General features: G+C 40.6%; 1 protein-coding gene and 1 pseudogene across 2 annotated transcripts in view, besides 2 other annotated features; one reads left to right on the top strand and one right to left on the bottom strand.

Moving 5' to 3' along the window:
• JAM3 (junctional adhesion molecule 3) overlaps positions 1 to 27,840 on the bottom strand; it is an 82,930-nt gene that overhangs the window by 19,860 nt on the left and 35,230 nt on the right. The window lies entirely within an intron of this gene.
• Positions 6,528 to 7,064: an enhancer, noted in NCBI's record as "H3K4me1 hESC enhancer chr11:133994973-133995509 (GRCh37/hg19 assembly coordinates)". NCBI's record gives its function as "activates a minimal SCP1, AML or CMV promoter by ChIP-STARR-seq in naive H9 embryonic stem cells {active_cell/tissue: H9 hESC(naive)}" and the evidence as "EXISTENCE:reporter gene assay evidence [ECO:0000049][PMID:30033119]".
• On the top strand, positions 6,940 to 9,012 carry PTP4A2P2 (PTP4A2 pseudogene 2; annotated as a pseudogene).
• Positions 7,065 to 7,603: an enhancer, noted in NCBI's record as "H3K4me1 hESC enhancer chr11:133994434-133994972 (GRCh37/hg19 assembly coordinates)". NCBI's record gives its function as "activates a minimal SCP1, AML or CMV promoter by ChIP-STARR-seq in naive H9 embryonic stem cells {active_cell/tissue: H9 hESC(naive)}" and the evidence as "EXISTENCE:reporter gene assay evidence [ECO:0000049][PMID:30033119]".

Raw genomic sequence — 27,840 nt, 5'->3', positions numbered from 1 at the left:
TCATGTGTCTCAGTGTGAGTCTCTTTGGTTGATTCTACTTAGAGTCTAGTGAGATTTTTGGATTTGTGGGTCTATGCCCTTCATCAAATTTGGGGAGTTTATTCTTCATTATTTCTCAAAATAATCTTTCTGCCCAGTATTTCTCCCCCTTCTAAAACTCCCACAATGCATATGATGGTCCACTTATTAGTCCCATGAGTCGCTTAGACTCTGTTCACTTTTCTTCCTTCCTTTTTCTTTTTGCTCCTCAAACTTGATAATTAATCGTCCTAACTTCTACTTTGCTAGTTCTTTCTTCTATCTGCATCAATCTGCTGTTGAAACCCTCTAGTAAATTTTTCATTTCAGTTATTGTATTTTCAGTTCCAAAATTTGTTTCATTTCTGTAATTTCTATGTCTTTATTGATAGTGTCCTTTTCTTCAGGGACTGTTTGCCTGATTGCCTTTAGTTCTTTGTCCATGTTCTCCCCTTAGGTGTTTGTGCATATTTTAAACAAATAGTCTTTGGCTAATAAGTCCAATATCTGTGCTGCCTCTGGGACAGTTTCTGTCAATCCCTTTAGTTCCTTTAAATGAGCCATGTTTTCCTGTTTCTTTGTATGCTCTGTTATTTTTTGTTGTTGTTGTTGATGCTGTTGTTGAAAATCTGGCATTTGATTATTATAATACGGTTAACTCTGGAAATCAGATTGTCCCCCCTCCCCCAAGATTTGCTGTGTTTTTTAAAAAAATTACTGTTTAAGGCTGTAGTAGTCCATTTGAGACTCAGAAGACTATTCCTTTTCAAGTTTGGTCACTGAGGTTCCTTAACCTTGTGTTCAGCTATTATAAGAGTATAATCAAGACTGTCTTAAGTGCCAAAAGCTGAAATAAACAAACACTACAACAACCACCCCCCCGCCCCCCCAAAAAAGAGCATATTATAGCCGTCTGAGTCTTTGGAGACTGGCTCTGTGCAGGGGTACTCCTTCATCTCTTAGCTAGGCTTATTCTGAATCTAGAGATCAGCCTGGGATGAATCTTAGCATCTTGTCAGGGCTTTTCTGATCATGTGTCTTGCCTGACATGATCACAGCTTTCTATTTTCCTTCATACATGTGGCTGCTTTTGAGAGTCGTAATTTCCTAAGAATCTCACCCAGTTTCTCCTCTGGGCCTTACAGGGCCTATTGTACATGTCCAGCCAGAATCTCTTCAGGCGTCTGTAGGTTTATAGTCACTCTGTAGCTTTTAATAGCAGTGCCCACTGGTTTTACTGCCTGCTTCCCTGATTATACAAGACAGAGACAAGCACCTTGCATTAGGCCTTCAGGTATCCCCCAGAAAGGCTGGAATAGACATACACATTAATTTGCAAATAATGTCTGCTCTGTTCCCTCCGGTTTGAGAGGAAAGCTGCGGAATAGCTGTTGCCTCTTCAAGACCAAATCAGCTACTATGCCAGGGAGAGGGTAGGGCAAGGGTGTGTAAAAATACCACAAATCTTTCCTACTGGTTTAAAGATGGCTCTTTTTGGTTAGATATTTGCTTGGTTGCTATAATCTTCGTTTGACTGATTTCAGAGCTTCTACAACGTCGGTTCAAATAGCTACTGGGTGATTTTTTAATTTTTCTGCTGGTGAACAGGAGCTTGGAACTTCCCAGTCCACCATTTTGCTGAGATCACTGTAAGTTAGCCTTGTCACTATTTTTTTTTTAGTAATTCTTATTCATCTTTGTATCTGATTCCCAACCATAATACCTAAGAACCCAAGAAGTTTCTGGAAAAGTTACTTATTTTAAGTAGGGGAAAAAGACACAGATAGTTTCAATACAATATAGCAAATGGCATGAGAGAAATCTACACCAATCCAAACATAGACTGAGTTAGTGTCTTTGCTCTTTCAATGTTTCTTTGATAACGGAGCTCTCATTCTCACTGTAAGTCGGTAAACTGGCATTGTGGGCTTATGTTTTCCCAGGATTTAATTGCTTCAGGTAGAACTAGCAAATGTGTTTTCAATCCAGAACTAGGTAGCTTAATCCAGGACAGAGGTAACTACTCGATGTGCTTATAATTCCATCTTCAAAACTCTGTTACATGACAAAGCTATGAACTATCTGGGGCCGTTTTTAATACTCTTACTGACTTTTTTTTTTGGAGACAGAATCTCACTCTGTAACCAAGGCTGGAGTGCAGTGGCGCGATCTCGGCTCACTGCAACTTCCGCCTCCCATGTTTAAGCGATTCTCCTGCCTCAGCCTCCCGAGTAGCTGGGACTGTAGGCGCCTGCCACCACGCCCGGCTAATTTTTTGTATTTTAGTAGAGATGGGGTTTCACCGTGTTGCCCAGGCTGGTCTCGCGCTCCTGAGCTCAAGCAATCTGCCCACCTCGGCCTCCCAAAGTGTTAGGCTTACAGGCGTAAGCCATCACGCCTGGCCTCTTAGTGACTTTTAATATGATTTTGCATACTCCAATTTTTCTCAAATGTAAAATATTATTTAAAAACTTACCCTTCTTTCACCAATAACTGAAGATAAGTAAGTTAAACATTTTAGAAGAGGGACCATTTATTATCATTATTCTACTTGCTATCTAGGGACCAATGACTTTCCAGAGGTCCAGAGAATAGCAAGTTTCAAATTTAAAGGCTTTAAATTTGAGACAGTAATTAATGTTAAAGAAGGTCATAAGGGTGTGGACTTAATCCAATATGACTAGTGTCCTTATAAGAACTTGAAAAGAGGCTGGGCACAGTAGCTCACGCCTGTAATCCCAGCACTTTCAGAGGCCGAGGTGGGCAGATAACAAGGTCAGGAGATTGAGACCATCCTGGCTAACACTGTGAAACCCCATCTCTACTAAAAATACAAAAAATTAGCCAGGCATGGTGGCGGGTGCCTATAGTCCCATCTACTTGGGAGGCTGAGGCAGGAGAATGGCGTGAACCTGGGTGGAGCTTGCAGTGAGCCGAGATCACGCCACTGCACTCCAACCTGGGCAACAGAGCGAGACTCTGTCAAAAAAAAAAAAAAAAAGAACTTGAAGAGATACCAGGGATGTGCCTGCACAGGGGAAAGATAATATGAGGACACAGCAAGAAGGCAGTCACCTACTGGCCAAGGAGAGGTCTCAGGAGAAACCAACCCTGCCAGCACCTTGATTTTGGACTTCCCAGCCTGCAGTACTATGTGAAAATACATTTTTGCTGTTCAAGCCACCTCTTTATGGTATTTTGTTAGGCAACTCCTAGTAAACTAATACAGAGGGGAATGGAAATGAATACAGAGCAAGAGAAAGATACAAAAAATGTAAAAATAGTATTTTCCAATATATTAGTCCATTTTCACACTATAAAGAACTACCAGAGACTGGGTGATTTATTAAGAAAAAAGGTTTAATTGACTCACAGTTCCACATGGCTGAGGCCTCAGGAAACTTACAATCATGGTGGAAGGCATAGGGGAAGCAGGCACCTTCTTCACAAAGCAGCAGGGGAAAGGAGGAGAGAGACAGAGCACACATGCACACGAGTGAGCGAATAAGGGGGGAACTGCCACACACTTTTAAACCATCAGATCTCATGAGAACTCACAATCATGAGAACAGCATGGGGGGAAGCCAACTCCATAATCCAATCACGTCCACCAGGGCCCCCTCCTTGACACATGGAGATTACAATTTGAGATGAGATTTGGGTGGAACACACCGCCAAACCATATCATCTGACTTTATACCAAATACAGAAATTCTAAATTTTTGAGTACCAAAATATGCTTGAATTCACAGTTGACAAAGGCTGTTAAGTATTTTGTTCAATGACATTTAATCCCAGCTCAGAGAGAGGTGAGTTCTGATGATACAGACTCTGGGGTCCACTCCCAGGAGGGCTGTCTCTGCAGGTGAGCAGAAATAACAAAGGATTTCTAAAACCACATGGAATGGCATCCCCAGCTACATTAAGGAGACGACTGGACCTCAGGCTGTTGTGTTCTCAAGTGATAATAACAATATATCAGCTCAGTTTCAGGCCAAGGCTAAAAAGCCCAAGAGGAAAACCTTTCTTTTTTCTTTCTTTTCCTTTTTTTTTTAAACTGTAAGCAACACCCCAAAGACTGATTTCACTTTTATAAACAAAAAAACCACTGTTTGATTCATAGTGGGGGTCAATATGTGCTTTCTTAGAGGCACTTGGTTCCCAACAAGAAAGGCATGTCTGTCTGGACATCCAGTGCAGAGAGGAGTAAGAAGAGCCCAGAGAGTGCACAGGTGATGATGGAGAGGTCCCCTGAATACTGACCAGCCTCACTTACTCTCTTCTGTTTCCTCTCTTCTATGCCTTTCTTAATGTGATTCTAGGAGCAGCGGTTGTCACTCCATTCTCTGTTGTGCCTACTTGTTAGAAATATATTAAACTAATTCTGTATTTATTTTCAAAGGCATCAAGTTTTATTTTGTTTTGAAATCGAGTCTCACTCTGTCGCTCAGACTGCAATGCAGTGGCATAATCTCAGCTCATTGCAACCTCCACCTCCGGGGCTCAAGTGATCCTCCTGCCTGAGCCTCCAGAGTAGCTGGGACTACAGACATGTGCCACCACGTCCGGCTAATTTTTTGTATTTTTAATAGAAACGGGGTTTCACCATGTTGGCCAGGCTGGTCTCAAACTCCTTACCTCATATGATCCACCTGCCTTGGCCTCCCAAAGTGCTGGGATTACAGGTGTGAGCCACCACGCCCGGCCAAAAGGCATCAAGTTTTAAAATGACTCACTACAATGGCATTAGTTCTTATTCTTGAAACCAGGGCCATCAGACATCATAGTTCCAGAAGTAGGGAAGGAAGTGAAAATGATTCAGATTAATTCCTTAGGGTCACTCTTCAAGACAGTCAGAGCAAGTGGTATCATTTCCAATTTACAACCGATGATGTGGCCAAGTGGCTTGCCTATAGTCCACAGCCAAGTGATGGAGCCAGCACTTCAAGCTGTATTCTTAAACTCCATGTCTAACACTCTTTCTATTACATTCTGATGCCTACAATTCTTCTTCTTCCTATGACTTCATGCAAGAGATTAACTACACGCTTTGGTGTTTTGTTTTTATTGTGTGCATGCTTGACCAGAAATGTGGCAAGAGATAATAGTTTGATAATTCCTTCTCTATAATCTAGCCACTTATTTCTCAAATGCTAAGTGACACTAAGATGGCCCAAAGGCAAAGCTATCCTACAATGCATCAGTGCCAGTTTATCTGTCACAATGACAGAGAAGGAGAAGTTATTATTATCCTTAAGGCCAGAACTAGGTATTAAACAGCTAATAATCAGTGGGATTTAGAGTGGAGACAAAATTAGGATTCAGAGTTTAGACAGAAGACAGTTTTACTTCCAGATTCATGCCCCTTGCCATGCACAGTGGTATCTAGCACAGTTTTCTACACAGGAAGACCTGACCAGGAAACTGACTTTGCTATCCTAGCTCTGTCATAGACTTCCTGAATCATCTCCAACTCACAGTCCTCAGCAAAATCCCTCCCATATCTGTGTGCTCATGTTTGAACCACACTAATAAAGAGGCTCAGGCAACATGCACTTCTGTATAAAAAGTAACCCAGTTCTGAAGCCTGCTTTAAAGCATGTAGAAATGTGGGTTGCCCTAAGATAAACAGCACAGGCACTTACCAGTCAGGAGGTTTTCCTCAGCTCTCAGCAACAGATGACAAAGTCATGCATATAAACAAATCTGCAAGGCACTGCAGCATGGGCAAGACAGAGGATGACAAAGAGAGATGGCAGGGATGGAGCGCACTGTGGCCATCCATCTGCATATGAGTCACCACCTCTGAACAACAGCCTTTTCCTCATTTGTTTAGAGAGCCTCAGCAAAGCAAATGCAGGGTAGAGAGCCAGAGGACCTTGGGATCAATTTCTAAGTTTTACTGTCATCTGGTTAAGTAATTTCTAGGCTCAAGTATTACTAGCATTCTACCTTTATGGACAGTTGTCCACAAGGAAAATCTATGCTTTTCCTGGGAAGACAAGGGTGGGACAGGGAAGGGATGTCGCAGGAAAACCTACCAGCTATACAGAACACGAATTTTCACATATGAGGAGCCAGCCAATCAGCAGTGTGCAGAGAGAGAAGGACAGAGGAAAGTGAGACCTTTAGTTTCACAAAGAGCATGATTTTGACATAGAGCAAGTGTGAAGGTACGCTGCTTCCTGTAGATCAGTTGACTATTCTGCTGAAGAGGAAAATGAACCCATCGGGGTGCTTTTTCTGAAGAGGCCTGTCAACCAGCTTGTAGGACTGATGTCTAATGTAGAGAAAAAACAAAGCAGACACTGTGCTTTCTCCTACCAACATTTTGATAATTAGCAAAGCAGGAAGGAGCTACAGGATGAGCACACAGTGCTGCTGGGACTTGAACGAGCTGTACATTCTCCTGAGTATTGTCGGGGCTCACATTCTGTGCTGCGTCTCACAGCACGTTCTCAACACCGATTCAGCTTCCCAGCATCCATCGATGGAAAGATGACTACACTCATGTCCCAGACAGGGGATCGGATGCTAGCGAGGTCAATGGCTACAAGTACAAAGTAAAAACCAGAAGCTGGGAGTTTTGCCTCTTACTCCCTACTTCTTGCTTTATTGTATAATCTTATAAGAAGAAATACAATATTAAAATCTATCCAGAACTAAAAAAGAAAGCAACAAATAAAGTGGGAAGAGGATCTGTACGAAAAGGAAAACATGAATCAGACCTTGAAGCCTAAAAGGAGATCCCATTGTTTGAGTAAAACCCTATCTTGGATGAGTCTGCAAGGGAAGCGACCTAAAAAAAGCCTCTGACATGATGTGCAGCTGGCACCGTCATCTTCAACACAGCCATCTCTTCCTTCCAGGGAAGATGTGGAACTAAGTTGAGAGAGAGAAGAGGGGGCGGGAGCTGCTTTTGGCTGCCCGTGCAGCGGCGGTGGCGGCGGCACGATCGGCCGGGCTGTAGCCGTTGTCCGTCCGGGAGCGGCTGGAGCAGCAGTGGCGGCGGCCGTGCACCTCGGGAGGCGACACCACAGGGCAGCGGCGGCTGCAGGAGCAGCAGCAAGACAGACTCGTGGAGACGCGCCGCCGCCACCGGGCGGGTGTCGCGCGCTGAGGCTGGGGGGTGTCGTCGCCGCTGCCGCAGAGGTAACTGAGGAGAGGGGCGCCTCCTCGCTCCTGCCACCGCCGGACTTCAATGCCCGGTCCCCGCTCGCCAGCGTTTTTCGTTGGAATATACGTTGCACATTTACGGCGATTCTGAGTGTGAGGGCAGACTTCTGCCGGGCTCAGCACAGCGTTTTCGCTGACAAGCTTAGAGGTTCTATGTGCCATAATTAACACTGCCTTGAACACTCCTGGACACACCGACCGGCCTCAGAAATAGCTGGCTTTTTTTTTTAATTGCAAGCATATTTCTTTTAATGACTCCAGTAAAATTAGGCATCAAGGAAACAAGTGGAAAGCGACCTACACTTTTAACTTGCCTCACTAGTGCCTAAATGTAGTAAAGGCTGCTTATGTAGTTGGATTTTTTTGGAGTCCGAAGGTATCCATCTGCAGAAATTGAGGCCCAAGTTGAATTTGGATTCAAGTGGATTCTAAATACTTTGCTTATCTTGAAGACAGAAGCTTCATAAGGAATAAACAAGTTGAATAGAGAAAACACTGATTGATAATAGGCATTTTAGTGGTCTTTTTAATGTTTTCTGCTGTGAAACATTTTGATTTATTGATTTCTTTCACTTTTCCCATCACACTCACACGCACACTCACATTTTTCATTTGCCATAATGAACCGTCCAGCCCCTGTGGAGATTTCCTGTGAGAACATGCGTTTTCTTGTAACTCACAACCCTACCAGTGCTACTCTCAACGAGTTCCCAGAGGAACTTAAGAAGTATGGAGTGATGACTTTGGTTCGAGTTTGTGATGCTACGTATGATAAAGCTCCAGTTGAAAAAGAAGGAATCCACCTTCTAGATTGGCCATTTGATGATGGAGCTCCACCCCCTAATCAGATAGTAGATGATTGGTTAAACCTGTTATAAACCAAATTCTGTGAAGAGCCAGGTGGCTGTGTTGCAGTGCCTTGTGTTGCGGGATTGGGAAGGGCACCTGTGCTGGTTGCACTTGCTTTGATTGAATATGGAATGAAGTACGAAGATGCAGTTCAGTTTATAACACAAAAAAGAAGGGGGGCCTTCAATTCCAAACAGCTGCTTTACTTGGAGAAATACTGACCTAAGATGTGATTACGCTTCAGAGATACCAACGGGCACTGCTGTGTTCAGTAGAAAGAAATGTAAATGAAGGCTCACTTGATTGTGGCATTTAGAGGGAACCCTTGGTACCTGGAAATGTGAATCTGGAATCTTACCTGTGTCATCAAAGTAGTGATGGATTCACTACTCCTCAACCACTCTCCTCATGATTGGAACAAAAGCAAACAAAAAAGAAATCTCTCTATAAAATGAATAAAATGTTTAAGAAAAGAGAAAGAGAAAAGGAATTAATTCAGTGAAGGATGATTTTGCTCCTAGTTTTGGAGTTTGAATTTCTGCCAGGATTGAATTATTTTGAAATCTGTCTTTTTAAACTTTTTCAAAATAGGTCTCTAAGGAAAACCAGCAGAACATTAGCCTGTGCAGAACCATCTGTCTGGGGAGCACACTCTTCATTATGCTTGGCACATAGATCTCCCTGTGGTGGGATCTTTTTCCCTTTTTTGGGGGGGGGGGGGTGGTGGTGTATTTTTCTCCTTTTTTCCTTCCTCTCCTACATGTCCCTTTTTCCCCTGATGCAAGTTGTAGATGGAATAGAAGCCCTTGTTGCCGTAGATGTACGTGCAGTCTGGCAGCCTTAAGCCCACCTGGGCACTTTTAAATAAATAAACAAACAAATAACTAAATAAATAAAAGCAGTGACATATAGATATATTATATGATCCAGGTGGTTTTTAGTCTTTACTGATGAAAGGGTGTTCATGTTAGCTTCTTTTCCTCAAAACCCTATCTAATACTAGACAAAGTAGCCAAGAGCCTTTTGTTTTATTTTGATAAATTAGTGGGGAAATGGCATTTTAAGAGGAGTCTCTTCTCAAAGAAGTTAGCTGAGAGTTGAATTCTTCTCTTCCCTAACCAGTGAAACTAAGTGGATATCCCAGAAACTTGTCTTCTAAAAGGGAGGACTCCAGGCCATCAACAAAGATGTCCAGGCAGTGGGCCTACTTTCTACACCCTGTACAATTGTGGGCTGTAGCGTTACTCTGATTTTCTGTCTAGTATCAGAGAATGCTGGTAGCTTAAAATTTTTATTTTAGGACTTGTACTGTGAATGTTCAGAAACGGTCAAAGAAATAGCAGCGAATTCACATATTTTCGACTTGAGAAATGCTTGTGGTGTTTTCCAAACTGCCCCCTATATGTAAAGTTCAGTTTAACCATTGATTGCCTTGTTATTACTAGGTTCTTTTGAGATTAAAAAATATCCCTGGTTTAAAACCAGCGATGATGCCTAGTGAGTATGTGTCCACAGGCCATAACAGGGTAGAAAAGCAACGTTGGGCAACGCAGTGAGTAGCGCAGGGACTGTGTTGCTGGTGAAGCGGTGTAGCAGCATTTCTGCAGATTCTTGGCTGGGTTTAGTGGACTGATCCAGAAGAGGTGTTTTTCTGATCCTTTGTGGAAGGCAGTTACGATCAGGCTGCATGGACAAAGCAGGTAGAGGGGTACCATCAGGGGCTCTTGCACTATTTTTACCTCTAAATATTACATTCTCAGTAGTGCCCTGCTTCTAAGGCTCTGAATACAGGCTTAAAGTCATCTTATCTTGCTGGAATTTGCTGTGCAGAGCCATAAGCCTCCCATTTTGTTAGCGTCAGCTAGGCCAGTAGGAACAGACCGGGACCTTGTCTCACACTGATGATACCTCAAATGTTGGCCGGCTATGTGAACTGCCTATTTCCTATTGCTGGAGTTTTGATTTTTAACTAAATACAAATCTGTAGATTCTCTCTTCTCCCATCCCAGAAAACAAAACAAAATAATGCTTTCTGAAATTGTTTCTGGGACTTAAAAGTAAAAAAATAATGGTATATCCAAAATTCTCCATTTCAAAACACAACAACAGATTCCATTAATATAGACTCAAGATCAAAACAGCACACGTGCTAAGCTAAGGTAGACAGTGTTGACTCCAAGTGTTTTGATCAATACCATGACAAACCTTTTCCCTTTGACACACTCTGAATTTTGTTTGGGAGGAGGGTGTGTGTGTGTGTGTGTGTGTGTGTGTGTGCGCACACATGCACGCAGTGTCCATCAGTATCAGTGCCTGCCCAAGTTAGGAAAATTACATTCCTGGTTCTGTATTGAGGAGAAGGATGTATAAAGCAACATGAAACATTAGCCCTCATTTTCTTTTAAATTAAAGACTAATGTTAATTGTTCTCAAAACTGGATTTTTTTCCTTAAAATTAAAGGAATCTTTTTCTTTTGGATTTAATGAAGTATTGCTAGCTGAAGCCAGTTTGACATAGAGAGATGTCAGAATGATTTGAAAGGTGTGCAGCCTGATTTAAAACCAAACCCTGAACCCTTTTAAAGAACAACAAAACATGTTTTACATGCTCAAAAAAAAAAAGGAGGGAGCTGGCAGATGGGAATGATAAGGCAGGAGAGGAAATGAGGAAATACTGACTCGCTTCTGCTCACAATGGCCTTCCTAGCTCACACGGCTCCTCAGATTCTTCTCTGGAACTACTGTGTTCTGTTTCCCCTTCCCTTTCCTAATTTGGAACAATTTTAGCAGCTGTGGACAACAACTGCAGTTTCTTATTTCAGTTTTGAGAGACCTTCCGGAAACTCTGCCAGAGTCTGCGGATCTGATGCCAGACAAGTTATATGACAATCACTTCGCTTGTTTAAAATACCATTTCCCAACCCACCTCCTCACGCCCTGGAGCACAGTCCCCCAGTTCTAACTCAACAGGCTGGGAAAGGTCTGGATCTGCACTGTCCCCAGCCTCTGGAGTGACGCTATGCACAGCCCCATTTGGGATGCCCTACTGAGGCACTCCTTCTGTGGGGGCCAGACCCAGCATCTGCGGTTGGTGCACAGAAACACAGCTCTATTGTTGAGCATGAGGATGACGCCTGCTTTCCTGTACTATTCTGAAGAGTTACTGGCTATAAAATGCTTCTACAGCTTCAGGCAAAAAGAACTAACATAAAATATTATTAAAACAATACATTTAAGCCATAACAGATATTGAGGTAATGTTAGTCTCAGCCCACAAATTTCCTGATTCCATAGAGCCTGGCTCATTTTGATGGATTTTGCTAAGAGTTTTCACATAATGGCGTGAGCATCCTGAAGCAGAGTGAGGGTCCATGAAAAACTGAACTCCCAGATTCGTCAAGGTTTGAATGTGCAAACTCCCCGTCCTCTTTCCTTGTGGTAGTGAAACTCATCGGAATAGCAGAGCAGACTTGTTGACTCATGAACAGAATGCTGGGGCACTGGGAGACGGGAGGCTTCCAACATTAACAATGGCTACTAACATTTAACTGCAGAGATGCTGAGAGAAAAATCAATGGTTGTCTTAGCTTTCCACGAAAAATTAAATTAATTTGGGTTTATACTCATTACAGTAAGCCAAGAAGGAAAAGAAGTTCTTTTAGAAAATGTTTCCACTCTGAATCTGATGTGTTGCTCACTAAGAACTAGTTTATGCATGTCTGGCTCTCTAAGGAGTTATATTTAGCTTGCTGGCATTCTGTCCAGTTTGTCTCTTGCTCAAAAGACATTTTTCCTTGACCAGGACTCACGTCAGCATGCATTACTGCGAGGCTGCACTAGCCGCTGAGGCTCAAGCCTAAACATACAACGGCAGCGCAGGCTTTCTAGTGGAGAAAGGCTACATGTTTACCCTTCACAGCAGACCGCTGCTGTACAGCTGCTTCGCAGAGTCTACCCTAGAGAAGAATATATCCCATAAAATAGCATCTTTGCAGCAATGTCTTAGTTCCTTCACCAATTTTTTAAGGAATTTAAGAGAAAATGGGGGGTGGGAGGTGGGGGTGGATAAAGAACACATATCAGCATTTTACAGACCCACTCACCCATACACACAGCAAAGTATATAGTAAATCGATCAAATATGGGTTCTGACAAGAGCACAGCCAGCTGAAGTCCTGGTTATATTTTGTGACCTGGCTTAACTAAATGGTTATATACAAAACAGACCATTGAAAATGAAAGTACAAAAAGACCCAACCAAGTATCATGGAATTCCAAATAAACCTAGCTGTGAGGGTTAATTTTATGTGTCAACTTGGAGGGTTTTTAAGATGAGATTAACATTTAAATTTGTGAACTTTCAGTAAAGCAGACTGCCCTCCATAATGAGGGCGGGCCTCACCTGATCATTTAAATAAAACACAAAGACTGGCCTCCTCTCCAAGAGGAAACTCCTCCAGCAGACTGCCCTGCAGACTTCACTGGCATCGTCGACTCTCCTGGGTCTCCAGCCTGCTAGCCCATACTGCAGATTCTGAACTCACCAGCTTTCTTAATCGTGTGAGTCAATTCCTTATAATACATCTCTATCTCTCTATCTCCTAATAGTTCTGTTTCTCTGGAGAATCCTAAACACTAATACTCTGGCAATGGCACTTCTTAAAAGAAAAATCTTAAGTCATTTCACTGTATAGACATTATATGAAAAGCTCTTCCAGTGGCGATCCTAAAAGCTGAGTCAGAGCAGTACCATGTAACACCCCAGGGTTAAGCCAGCAGGAAGACCTCAAAGCAGGTGCTATTTCTTTGAGTGTACAATCTTTTCTTTCTATTTGATTCTATCATTTCCAAACCCAAACCACCAAAGACTTCTTGCCAGTCGTGCTGACTCATGCCTGTGATCCCAGCACTTTGGGAGACTGAGGAGGGCAGATCACTTGAGATCAGGAGTTTGAGACCAGCCTGGCCAACATGGCGGAACTCTGTCTCTACTAAAAAAAAAAATACAAAAATTAGCCGATGTGCTTGCTTGAACCCAGGAGGTAAAGGCTGCAGTGAGTTGAGATCATGCCACTGCATTCCAGCCTGAGCAACAAAAGCAAGACTCTGTATCAAAAAAAAAAAAAAAAGATTTCTTGAGCACAAATCTGATTAATCCAGTCAGATAACACCAGAGTAAAACTCCACCTAGCAGCCACCTTAAATAGAAGTGTTCGAAGAAACGGCTAACCTGGAAAGACCGTTAACCAACCCCGCTCTCATCTCCAATTGAAAGGCTTTTAAAGCATAAGTGGAAAGTCCAGGATTATCATGGGGAGGAAATTATTGCCATGTTAATCGAAGCTATGAGGAAAGACAAAAGAGAAAGGGAATGGCTGGGTCTTATATACACTTTCACCATCAAACCACCAAGTAAAAACGTGGATAAAATATCAAAGAAGGAGTGGTGGCAGGGAGAGAGGAGGAAGAGTAAAGGCAGGGTGAAGGCAGCAGAGCAGACAAGGTTGGGGTTGGTGGGAGACAGGCAGGGGGAGGCCAGAGACAAAGAGAGGACAGAGAGGAGGAAGTGAGAATAGCCTGAAGGACAGCACCACTTCCATTGTAGTGGTGCAATGACTTCCCAGTGTTTTCAGTAACTCAGGGAGAACCTGTGCAAAGGAGATGGAACTGTACAGCACTTGGCTTGACTCACCATGGGCTCAGTTCTACACTGAAATAATGGAAATATAAAAATGATGGGTGGAGGGAGGGTCACCATCTTTGCATGAGCCTGGCACTGTTACTTTTTCTAACTGCAGACCAGTCAGACCAATTATAAAATATTCTTGGCTCTAAAGCACAGATGAACACATAAAATCCTCCTGCCTGTTGCCATGAGACCCATCTTAGAGGTACTGAGGCATGACAAATGTGTATGACTAAACACAGAACATGTGTCAAGGCATATTCTTGTTCAGTAAAATAACTCATTTGGAAATACATTATCCCTAATATTTGCCCTGAGCATAAGACCTTGGCATGAAGCTACTTTCTGTGTGAGCCCAGTCCCATAAACACTATTTGCATGTGATTACAGATTCTGGTATCAGAATTCCAAGAGAGGAATGTGTGCTCTCATATGCTACAAAAAAATAATTCAAAGTTACACCTGCATTCCAACTGCAGACATTCTGCATTAACCCCCATCCAGTATAGCCTCTTTAGGGCTCACAGTACCCTTCGGAGGTACATGGAACTAGCCTTCACTGTTATCTTGAAGACAGTGCAGGAGTGATCACCCTTCTTCAGAATCTGAATGGATGAGCTACTTCAGGAACCGAACTTGAAAATATAAGGGAATCTCACCTATCAAAGACCATTGCATGGAAGACAGGGACCAGTTATTCGTTTGCTTTGTTTCACTCCACTGTCATATCCCACTGTCATATCAACAAGAGGAAACATATTCAAGCTGCAAAACCTGGGCTTTAGGTTTAACATGTTAAAGGAAAAATAAATATGCTATAAAATATTCCAGTGGTAACTGGGATGCTGAAGGAAAGTGGAAGGGGTGGTGGTATTTACAAAACAGTTGAATTCTGAGATGTTCACATCAGTTTTACTGCAGTCTCTCCTGAGGTAGAACAGACTGCAAACTACCAAATATTTCTCTCTAATAAGGGAAGACATCAAGACAGCTTTACTTCTTCCCCGCCAATTTGGATTGTTTTTCTTTTTTTGAGATGGAGTTTTTTGCTCTTGTCGCCCAGGCTGGAGTGCAATGGTGTGATCTCAGCTCAGTGCAACCTCCGCCTCCCGGGTTCAAGCAATTCTTCTGCCTCAGCCTCCTGAGTAGCTGGGATTACAGGTGCCCACCACCATCCCCGGTTATTTTATTTTATTTTATTTTTTGTACTTTTAGTAGAGACAGGGTTTCACCATCTCAGCCAGGCTGGTCTCAAACTCCTGACCTCAGATGATCCACCCACCTCAGCCTCCCAAAGTGCTGGGATTACAGGCATGAGCCACTGTGCCTGGCCGTGGATTGTTTTTTTTTTAAGTTTCTTTTTCATGCCTGGTTGTATTGGCTAGAACCTCCAATATGGTGTTGAGTAGAAATGGTGTGAGCAGATATCCTTGTCTTGGTTAAACAAATAACTATAAATACGTTGTAGGTAATGACAGCCAAGTTTCTCACATCAAAGAATGAATATGCAAGGGGAAAATGCTAGAATTAACCCTGTAGTGCTGAATTTGAGTCAGACATACCACTATAAACTAATGTTTATTTTAACATAGATACAAATAGAGAAATAGTATAGATATGTGTGTATACGTGGATATAAATACATGTATCTCCTAGCCCTGTTCACCGAGAGCCTAGAAGCAGTGACACCTGATAACCAAAAGCATTTCTAGTACCCAGGTCTAGTTTCCCATATACCATTCTCTAGTAAAAAGAATCAGGGCTCCCTGAAAAATGGCTGATTCTAGGACAGGGAAAATACAAGATAAGCCTGGAGCACCCTGTAGTGTCAGAGAGCAAGAAAGTGCTAAAAAACAAACAACGACAAAAAATCCCAGCCACCTGAAAGAGCTTCCAGTGGCCAAAGCTGGAAGATTTTAAGAAAAAAAATTATGATACTATTGGATTATAATACAAAGAATACAATACCCATAAATCCACACTAATATGCATAAATGATGAATAAGCAAATAAATGAGAGACAGAGGCCAAATTTTCTTTACAGGAGAATTACAATGAACAAATGTAGAAAGAATAAGGGAAATAGGAAATAATCATTAGAACACCATAGTAATAACTGCTATAGGGAACATCCACTAATGACTGCCAATATTCATGAAAAAACTTTATCAGAATACTTGAATAGCCTCATAACATCTTATCCACCGAAATATTTATTAATTATTATGGTAATTTTAGCATACATCCACAAATTATCTGATTCTCCTCCCTCCAGGAAGTGAAGCTTAATTTCCATCTCCTTGAGTGTGGGCTGAACTCCTAAAAAATAGAAAGGGAAAAAGAAACATACTAACTTTACAGTGGAGAAACCTTGTAGACACCACCTAAACCTAGTGATCAGGGTAGCAATACCAGCAACATGTCATGATGATATTATATACCCTTTGATATGATGAGAAGGGCACTGCACTTTTATGGTATCTATCCCCTCCTCCAATTTTTTATTTATTTATTTTGAGACATGGTCTCATTCTGTCACCCAGGCTTGAGTGTAGTGGCGCAATCATGGCTTACTGCAGCCTCAAACTCCTGGACTCAAACCATCTTCCCACCTTGGCTTTCTGAGTAGCTGGGACTACAGGTGTGTGCCACTATGCCTTGCTAATTTTTTTTTTTAAGAGACAGGATCTCACATGTTACCCAGGCTGGTCTCAAACTCCTGGGCTCAAGTAATCTTCCCACCTCATTCTCCAAAAGTGCTGGGATTACAGGCATTAGCCGCACAGCACCTGACCCCCTCCCCCAATCTATAAACCAAGTCTAATCATGAGAAAACATCAGATAAACTCAAATTGAAGACTTTCTGCAAAACACCTAACCACTACTCTTTAAATATATCAAGGTCATAAGTTATAGCTAATAAACCAACAAAAAAGACCAAACAAAGTTACCCAATAGAAAAGAAGGCATAAAAAGAACAAAAGAACAAAGAACAGATGAAACAAAGGAAAACAAATGCAAGAGAAAAGACTTAAACCTAACTATATCAGTAAACGCAATGTAAATAGTCTAAACATCCCAATTAAATGGCATATATTGTTAGATTAGATTTTCTCCTAAAAAAGCAAGGCAACTTTAAATATAAAGATACAAAGCTTCAAAATAAAAGGATGAAAAAAGATATACTAAGTTAACACTAGCCAAAAGAAAAGTGGAGTGGCTATATTAGTATCAAAGTATATTTCAGAGCAAAGAATATTACCAGGGATAAAAAAGGTTAGTTCATAATGATAAAGGAAGTCATTTCATAACAATAAATTTAAAAATCGATAAAGAGGTCAATTCATCAAAAGAACATAAAAATTCTAAACATGTATGTACCTAGTAACAGAGCTTCAAAATATATTATGCAAAAACTGAAAAGAACTGCAAGGAGAAATAAACAAATCCATAGGATTCTTTGTTCGAGATTTCAACACTACTCTCAATAGCAGAACAAGTGGACAGAAAATCAGTAAGAATGCTGATTTTTAAAAATTCTATCGACTAACTTGACCTACTTCACATTTATAGAACACCTAACCCAAAGACAGCAGAATACATATTTTTGACAAGTGCAAATGGGACATTTACCAAGGTAGACCATATTCCGAGCCATAAAACAAATCACAATACGTTTTAAAAGATTCAAGTCATACAAAGTTTGTTTTCTGACCACAGTGAAATTAAAATAGAGATCAGTACAGAAAGGCATCTGAAAAATCCTAATGTTTGGAAACTAACACATTTCTCAATAATCTGTAAGTCAAAGAAGAATCAAAAGGGAAATTAAAAAGTGTTTTAGCTTGGTCCTGGTACCAAAAGAGAGATAGAGACCAATGGAACACAACAGAGCCCTCAGAAATAATACCACACATCTACAACCATCTGATCTTTGACAAACCTGACAAAAACAAGAAATGGGGAAAGGATTCCCTATTTAATAAATGGTGCTGGGAAAACTGGCTAGCCATATGTAGAAAGCTGAAACTGGATCCGTTCCTCACACCTTATACAAAAATTAATTCAAGATGGATTAAAGACTTAAATGTTAGACCTAAAACCATAAAAACCCTAGAAGAAAACCATTCAGGACATAGGCATGGGCAAGGACTTCATGTCTAAAACATCAAAAGCAATAGCAACAAAAGCCAAAATTGACAAATGGGATCTAATTAAAACTAAAGAGCTTCTGCACAGCAAAAGAAACTACCATCACAGTGAACAGGCAACCTACAGAATGGGAGAAAATTTTTGCAACCTACTCATCTGACAAAGGGCTAATATCCAGAATCTACAATGAACTCAAACAAATTTACAAGAAAAAAACAAACAAACCCATCAACAAGTGGGCAAAGGATATGAACAGACACTTCTGAAAAGAAGACATTTATGCAGCCAAAAGACACATGAAGAAATGCTCATCATCACTGGCCATCAGACAAATGCACATCAAAACCACAATGAGATACCATCTCACACCAGTTAGAATTGCGATCATTAAAAAGTCAGGAAACAACAGGTGCTGGAGAGGATGTGGAGAAACAGGAACACTTTTACACTGTTGGTGGGACTGTAAACTAGTTCAACCGTTGTGGAAGACAGTGTGGCGATTCCTCAGGGATCTAGAACTAGAAATACCTTTTGACCCAGCCATCCCATTACTGGGTATATACCCAAAGGATTATAAATCATGCTGCTATAAAGACACATGCACACGGATGTTTATTGCGGCACTATTCACAATAGCAAAGACTTGGAACCAACCCAAATGTCCATTAATGATAGACTGGATTAAGAAAATGTGGCACATATACACCATGGAATACTATGCAGCCATAAAAGATGATGAGTTCATGTCCTTTGTTGGGATATGGATGAAGCTGGAAACCATCATTCTCAGCAAACTATCACAAGGACAAAAAACCAAACACCGCGTGTTCTCACTCAGAGGTGGGAATTGAACAATGAGAACACTTGGACACAGGAAGGGGAACATCACACACCAGGGCCTGTCGTGGGGTAGGGGAAGCGGGGAGGGTTAGCATTAGGAGATATACCTAATGTAAATGACGAGTTAATGGGTGCAGCACACCAACACAGCACATGTATACATATGTAACAAACCTGCACGTTGTGCACATGTACCCTTAAAGTATTAAAAAAAAAAAAAACCAGACAGTCCAGTCCCAGAACCCACATTGTCAATTACTACTCTGTAAAAGATTCATTTGTTGAAATTCATTGAGTAAAACATTTATGATCCCTTAATATATGCCAGTTACCATGCTAGGTACTGAAGATTCAAGTGACCGAGATGCTAGCCCTTGGGTTCAAGTGATCCCTCTCCCAGAGTGCACTGGACTGGAGTGCTCTGTTGATGACCTTGCTGGGTATTACTTGGAGCCCACTCCAGGCCCTAGCCCATCACACAGAAGACAGCATATATAACTTTCTCTTTGGTCTGTGGCTTCAGACCTCAAATGAGACAAGATTTTCATGCTCTATTTCATGCTCTACCCCTCTCCATTCATATTGGAGGTCATATCCTCTTACACGACATGAAGGCAGCTATCTTAAGTTTGGGCAAGGCAAAACGAGTAAGAGCATGTACTCTGGAGTTGCTACTTGAGTTGATCTCCTCCACCGGTACCAATTAGTAGCCATGTGACCTCTGTGTGAGTGAGTTTCCTTGTCTATAATTGGGGTAATTGCAGTACCTACCTCATAGGATTGTTGGGAGGAATATGTTAATAAAAGTTCAGTGTTGGTAAGGAACTTGGTGGTGGACACATAGTATATACTGCAGGAAATGTTAGCAAAATATGTGTGTGTGTCATCGTACATAATTAAGTATATCTGTGTCAGCATATATAATTTATATAATGAACACACACACATAGTAGTTTCATTTAGATAGAGTGACTTGAAACCTGCACTTCCATCTCTGATGCCAAGTATACAGCCCATTTTAAATTGATTGACTGGCTGGGTGCGGTGTCTCACGCCTGTAATCCCAGCACTTTGGGAGGCTGAGACAGGTGGATCACCTGAGGTCAGGAGTTCAAGACCAGCCTGGTCAACATGGTTAAACCCCGTCTCTACTAAAAACACAAAAAATGAGCTGGGCGTGGTGGTGCATCCCTGTAATTCCAGCTACTTGGGAGGCTGAGGCAGGAGAATTCCTTGAACCCGGGAGGCAGAGGTTGCAGTGAGCCAAGGCCATGCAACCACACTCCATACTGGGCAACAGAGCGAGGCTCTGTCTCAATAAATAAATAAATTGCTTTACCGTAATAAAAGTGTTGCCATATGAGATGGGCAGTTTTCACATAGTAGAAGGTATTTCTTTTTTCACGTTTAGAGATCCACTGTCTTCCTTGATTTTAAAAATGTAATTAGTGTGATTATGGAGGTTGTGGTAGGTGGAGAGGCTGGACTTCAGATCGCTGAGGTGTTTGGATCCTGTGAGCACACTGGGCTTCCATTATAACTGAGGGACATTTGATGTGTAGGTATCTTATTAATTTATGGATCTACAGAAGCTGAAAATGAAATTTTTGTTAATTGAGAGGCATTATCTAAAAGAAAATGGAGATTCCCTTTTTATTGTTTATATGGAATGAAAGCAAACTTTTTTTCTAAGCTTCAGCTTTCTTTTACCTTGTGATTTTAACCATTTTCCTGCTTTCCCATTTTCTTCCTTATTCCTTGGTACATTGTAGGGTCTCATTCTACAGAATTTCAAAAACAGGGCCAAAAACTGAATGCTGAGAAACTCTGATTCTTGTCATACCATGCAATGATCCTTCCCTAACATCGAATTAATGGTATGAGGAGAAGTAGAGTTTCTTCCTCTTTAACACTAGGATTTTACTGACTCTTTTCTTTTCCCTTATGATTGTGCATAATGGCACAAAATGAATGCCTTGATTTTCACTGGTATTTTTCCATAGTTAAAAGATGAATGGTGGGAGGCCGAGGTGGGCGGAACACGAGGTCAGGAGATTGAGACCATGCTGGCTAACATGGTGAAACCCTGTCTCTACTAAAAAACAAAAAAAATTAGCAGGGCGTGGTGGCGGGCCTGTAGTCCCAGCTACTTGGGAGGCTGAGGCAGGAGAATGGCGTGAACCCAGGAGGCGAAGCTTGCAGTGAGCCGAGATCGCGCCACTGCACTCGAGCCTGGGCGACAGAGTGAGACTCCATCTCAAAAAAAAAAAAAAAAAAAAAAAAAAAAGATGGATGTGTGTTGGGTATGGTACAGGCATGTAGTGTAGACATAGGAAAGGTAGAGTGAGAACAAAGAATTAATTCAAGGATTCATATGAGCCATATATTCTTATACCCTAAGCTTCTCACAGAGGGAGAGAGAGAATACCTCCATATCTATGTCCAGTTTTGGGAGTCAGGGATTTGGTACAGAGCTAGTGTATCCTTTTTCACCAGATCACTCATTCACATGGCCACACATCAGAGCCCAATTTTTTGGTTTTGGACTTTTAAAAAAACAATCAAGGTATAATTGACATATAAAGTGCACATATTTAAATTATACCATATAATTCGATAAAATTTAGCATATACGTAAAGCTTTGAAACCACCACCACCACAACCACAATAGCGAACATATCCAGCAACTCCCAGGTTTCTAGCCGACCTACCCACCACCCTCAAAAGTTTCCTAATGCTCCTGTAATCCTTCCCTTCTGCCCTTCCTTCCTTATTCACCCCATCTGCCCTGTCCCCAGGCAACCACTTAGCGATTTTGTCACTAGTTTGGATTTCCTAGAATTTTAAATAAATGGAATCATACCATATGTACTCTTCTTGTCTGGCCTTTTTCACTCAGCATAATTATTTTGAGATTCATTTATGTGGCAGCATGCATCAATAATTTATTAGTTTTTATTGCTGAATAGTCATATTCCATTTATGGAAATACCACCAGATGTTTATTTACTATTGATGGGCATTTGGGTTATTTCCAGTTTTTAGATGCTACAAATAAATATTTGTGTACAAATCTTTGTATAAACATATGATTTCATTCTCTTACATAAGTATGTGGGAGTATAATAACTGAATCAAATAATAGGTCTATCTTTTCATTTTTAATCACACTTTTCCAAATTGGTCTTACCATTTTACATTCCCACCTGCAATGGATGGGAAATCTTGTTTTTGATACCCTCACCAACACTAGGTATAGTCAATCTTTTTAGTTTTTGTCATTCTGATAGATGCACAGTGGTATCTTACTGTGGTTTTAATTTGCATTAAGGTGCAAATTAAATGATGCAAATTAGGTTAAGCATCTTGTATTTATTTTCCATTCATAAGATCTCTGCTACAGTTACTCAACTCTGCCATTTTAGAGTGAAAGCAATGTGAAGGGAAAATAAAAACTCAGACCCCACTTCACTCTGCCAAAAGGAAAAAACTAAGCTGAAAGCTGTGTCCTACAAGAAGCTGCCTTTCCATTTGTTTCTAAGCAGACAGCTATAGAGAAAAGGTTCAGTATCTCCCCAGGTAGCTACTCCATGTTCACCTTATCTTATGTAAAGTATTTATTTACTGGGCACAATATGAATACATAATTGACTATTTCCCTACCTGCTCCTTTTCTCTTGCAACATGTGGATTACCACATTCTCCCTCTTTCCCCTCCAGCCCACTTTTTCCCTTTAAATATTGCAGCCCTCAAAATCATTTTTGAAAAAAGGCACAGACCACTGACCATTTATGTGATTCCATGTTTTATTCTTCCGGGCATGTCCTTAACCTTGGCAAAATAAAGTTCTCAATTGATTGAGACCTGTCTCAGATCTTTTGGGTTTACAGCAGCCATAGTTGATAAGTAAATGGATGGATGTGGCTGTGTTCCAATAAAATTTTATTTGCAAAAGCAAATAACAAAAAACCAGGCAACAGTTATATTTGGCCTTTGGATTGTAGTTTGCTGATCCCTGACATAAATGTTAATGTCCTCTGCAAATAAAGATATGAAGACAGCTTTACTTCTTCCTAATTTTTTTTAAGTTCTTTTTTTCATCCCTGGTTGCACTGCTAGAACCTCCAATACAGTGTTGAATAGAAGTGGTGAGAGCAGGCCGGGCACGGTGGCTCACGCCTGTAATCCCAGCACTTTGGGAGGTTGAGGTGGGTGGATCACATGAGGCCAGGAGTTTGAGACCAGCCTGGCCAACGTGGTAAAACTCCTTCTCTTCTAAAAATACAAAAATTAGCCGGGGGTGGTGTGGTGGCTCGTGCCTGTAGTCCCAGCTACACGGGAGGCTAAGGCACGAGAATTGCTTGAACCTGGGAGGTGGAGGTTGCAGTGAGCTGAGATTGTGCCACTGTACTCCAGCCCGGGAGATAGAATGAGACTCTGTATTAAAGTTAAAAGAGCTGGTGAGAGCAGGTATTTTTGTCTGGTTTCTACCAATAATATAATATTACCTATAACTTTTTCATGGATATTGTTTATCAGATTGGGAAACTCCCTCTATTCCTAATTTTTGGCTTAATTGAACCAGCTTTTGGTTTATTGATTTACCTCTGTTGTTTTGCTGTTGTCTGTCTCAGGAAGTTCCTTCCTATTCCAAAAGTTTTTTTTATCATAAATGGATGTTGAATTTTGTCAAGTGCTTTTTCTGCATCTGTTGAGAATGTAATATGGTGATATTGCGTTATTATAATGAATTACATTAACTGATTTTCATATGTTAAACCAACCTTGCATTCCTGGGATAAACCTCGGTTGGTTTTTGTTTTTGTTTTCTTCCTATACACACAAACAGCCAGAACTTGGTCTTTTTTATGATTGACTTGCTAAGATTTTGTTTGAAATTTTTGCATCTATGTTCACGAGGGAAATTGGCCTGTAGATTTCTTGTAATGCCTCTGGTTTTGATATCAGGGTAATTCTGGCCTCATAGAATACTTTGGGAAATAATTCTTTCTTTTCACTTTGTTGGAAGAGTTTCGTTAGAATTGGTGTCTTTTTTTTCTTAAATGTTTGGTAGAATTCACCAGTGATCTGGGCCTGGAGTTTTCTTTGTGGGCAGTTTTTTTTTTAACTATAAATTATTTTTAAAAAGTAGATGTTAGGCTATTCAGGCCACTTATTTCTTCTTGAGTGAGCTTTGGTAGTTGTGTCTTTCAAGAAATTTATTTGATCCAAGTTGTGAAATGTTTAAGCATAAAGTTGTTCATAATATTTTCTTATCATTCTTTTAATGTGTTTATAGTCACCTATCTTATTCCTGGCATTGTTAACTTGTTTCTTTTCTCTATTGTTCCCAATTAGTCTAGTAGAGGTTTCTTAATTTTACTGATATTTTCAAAGAAACAGCTTTTGGACTTACTGGTTTTTTTCTGTTGTTTTTGTTTTCTGAAGTCTCATGATTTCTGCTTTTACCTTTATTATCTTCTTTATTCTGCTTACTTTGAATATGTGTTCTTTTTCTGATTTTTTTTCCTATTTTTCTGTTTATTTATTTATTTTAGAGACAAGGTCTTTCTCTGTTGCTTAGCCAGAGTGCCGTGGCGTAATATTAGCTCACTGTAGCCTCAATTTCCTGGGACCAAGCAATTCTCCTGCCCCGATGTCCCAAGTAGCTGGGACTACAGGCATCTACCACCATGCCTGGCTCATTTTTAAATTTTTTGTAGAGATGGGGACTTGCTATGTTGCCCAGGCTCTTTTTCTAATTTCATAAAGTAGATGAACTCACTGATTTCAGACCTTTCTTCTTTTCGAATATAGGTCTTTCATGCTGTAGATTTCACCCTAGTTACTGCTTTAGTGGCCTAGTCTTAATTCTGATGTCACATTTTTATTTTCATTCACTTCAAAACACTTTTTTTTGACTATTTATATATATTTTTTATACTTTATGTTCTAGGGTACATCTGTACAACGTGCAGGTTTGTTACACATGTATACATGTGCCATGTTGGTGTGCTGCACCCATTAACTCGTCATTTACATTAGGTATATCTCCTAATGCTATCCCTCCCCCCTCTCCCAACCCCACAACAGGTCCTGGTGTGTGATGTTCCCCTTCCTGTGTCCAAGTGTTCTCATTGTTCAATTCCCACCTATGAGTGACAACATGCGGTGTTTGGTTTTTTGTCCTTGCGATAGTTTGCTGAGAATGATGGTTTCCAGCTTCATCCATATCCCGACAAAGGACATGAACTCATCATTTTTTATGGCTGCATAGTATTCCATGGTGTATATGTGCCACATTTTCTTAATCCAGTCTATCATTGATGGACATTTGGGTTGGTTCCAGGTCTTTGCTATTGTGAATAGTGCCACAATACACATACGTGTGCATGTGTCTTTATAGCAGTATGATTTATAATCCTTTGGGTATATACCCAGTAATGGAATGGCTGGGTCAAAAGGTATTTCTAGTTCTAGATCCCTGAGGAATCGCCACACTGTCTTCCACAACGGTTGAACTAGTTTACAGTCCCACCAACAGTGTAAAAGTGTTCCTGTTTCTCCACATCCTCTCCAGCACCTGTTGTTTCCTGACTTTTTAATGATCGCAATTCTAACTGGTGTGAGATGGTATCTCATTGTGGTTTTGATGTGCATTTATCTGATGGCCAGTGATGATGAGCATTTCTTCATGTGTCTTTTGGCTGCATAAATGTTTTCTTTTGAGAAGTGTCTGTTCATATTCTTTGCCCATTTGTTGATGAGGTTTTTTTCTTGTAAATTTGAGTTCTTTGTAGATTCTAGATATTAGCCCTTTGTCAGATGAGTTGATTGCAAAAATTTTCTCCCATTCTGTAGGTTGCCTGTTCACTCTGATGGTAGTTTCTTTTGCTGTGCAGAAGCTCTTTAATTAGATCCCATCTGTCAAATTTGGCTTTTGTTGCCATTGCTTTTGGTGTTTTAGACATGAAGTCCTTGCCCATGCCTATGTCCTGAATGGTATTGCCTAGGTTTTCTTCTAGGGTTTTTATGGTTTTAGGTCTAACATTTAAGTCTTTAATCCATCTTGAATTAATTTTTGTATAAGGTGTAAGGAAGGGATCCAGTTTCAGCTTTCTACATATGGCTAGCCAGTTTTCCCAGCACCATTTATTAAATAGGGAATCCTTTCCCCATTTCTTGTTTTTGTCAGGTTTGTCAAAGATCAGATGGTTGTAGATGTGTGGTATTATTTCTGAGGGCTCTGTTCTGTTCCATTGATCTATATCTGTTTTGGTACCAGTACCATGCTGTTTTGGTTACTGTAGCCTTGTAGTATAGTTTGAAGTCAGGTAGCATGATGCCTCCAGCTTTGTTCTTTTGGCTTATTATTGACTTGGCAATGTGGGCTCTTTTTTGGTTCCATAGGAACTTTAAAGTAGTTTTTTCCAATTCTGTGAAGAAAGTCATTGGTAGCTTGATGGGGATGGCATTGAATCTATAAATTACCTTCGGCGGTATGGCCATTTTCACGATATTGATTCTTCCTACCCATGAGCATGGAATGTTCTTCCATTTGTTTGTGTCCTCTTTTATTTCGTTGAGCAGTGGTTTCTAGTTCTCCTTGAAGAGGTCCTTCACATCCCTTGTAAGTTGGATTCCTAGGTATTTTATTCTCTTTGAAGCAATTGCGAATGGGAGTTCACTCATGATTTGGCTGTTTGTCTATTATTGGTATATAAGAATGCTTGTGATGTCTGGACATTGATTTTGTATCCTGAGATTTTGCTGAAGTTGCTTATTAGCTTAAGGAGATTTTGGGCTGAGATGATGGGGTTTTCTAAATATACAATCATGTCATCTACAAACAGGGACAATTTGACTTCCTCTTTTCCTAATTGAATACCCTTTATTTCTTTCTCCTGCCTGATTGCCCTGGCCAGAACTTCCAACACTATGTTGAATAGGAGTGGTGAGAGAGGGCATCCATCTTGTGCCAGTTTTCAAAGGGAATGCTTCCAGATTTTGCCCATTCGGTATGATATTGGCTGTGGGTTTGTCATAAATAACTCTTATTATTTTGAGATACGTCCCATCAATACCTAATTTATTGAGAGTTTTTAGCATGAAGGGCTGTTGAATTTTGTCAAAGGCCTTTTCTGCATCTATTGAGATAATCATGTGGTTTTTGTCTTTGGTTCTGTTTATATGCCGGATGATGTTTATTGATTTGCGTATGTTGAACCAGCCTTACATCCCAGGGATGAAGCCCACTTGATTATGGTGGATAAGCTTTTTGATGTGCTGCTGGATTTGGTTTGCCAGTATTTTATTGAGGATTTTTGCATCGATGTTGATCAGGGATATTGGTCTAAAATTCTCTTTTTTTGTGTCTCTGCCAGGCTTTGGTATCACGATGATCCTGGCCTCATAAAATGAGTTAGGGAGGATTCCCTCTTTTTCTATTGATTGGAATAGTTTCAGAAGGAATGGTACCAGCTCCTGCTTGTACCTCTGGTAGAATTCGGCTGTGAATCCATCTGGCCCTGGGCTTTTTTTTGGTTGGTAGGCTATTAATTATTGCCTCAATTTCAGAGCCTGTTATTGGTCTATTCAGGGATTCAACTTCTTCCTAGTTTAGTCTTGGGAGGGTGTATGTGTCCAGGAATTTATCCATTTCTTCTAGATTTTCTAGTTTATTTGCATAGAGGTGTTTATAGTATTCTCTGATGGTAGTTTGTATTTCTGTAGGATCGGTGGCGATATCTCCTTTATCATTTTTTATTGCATCTATTTGATTCTTCTCTCTTTTCTTATTAGTCTTGCTAGCGGTCTATCAATTTTGTTGATCTTTTCAAAAACCCAGCTCCTGGATTCATTGATTTTTTTGAAGGGTTTTTTGTATCTCTATTTCCTTCCATTCTGCTCTGATCTTAGTTATTTCTTGCCTTCTGCTAGCTTTTGAATTTGTTTTCTCTTGCTTCTCTAGTTCTTTTAATTGTGATGTTAGGGCGTCAATTTTAGATCTTTCCTGCTTTCTCTTGTGGGCATTTAGTGCTATAAATTTCCCTCTACACACTACTTTAAATGTGTCCCAGAGATTCTGGTATGTTGTGTCTTTGTTCTCATTGGTTT

This window comes from Homo sapiens, chromosome 11, assembly GCF_000001405.40.
Source record: "Homo sapiens chromosome 11, GRCh38.p14 Primary Assembly".
In the NCBI taxonomy this organism is placed as follows: domain Eukaryota; kingdom Metazoa; phylum Chordata; class Mammalia; order Primates; family Hominidae; genus Homo; species Homo sapiens.
The sequence above is the reverse complement of the archived record's forward strand: the minus strand, read 5'-3'. Positions and strand labels throughout refer to the sequence as shown.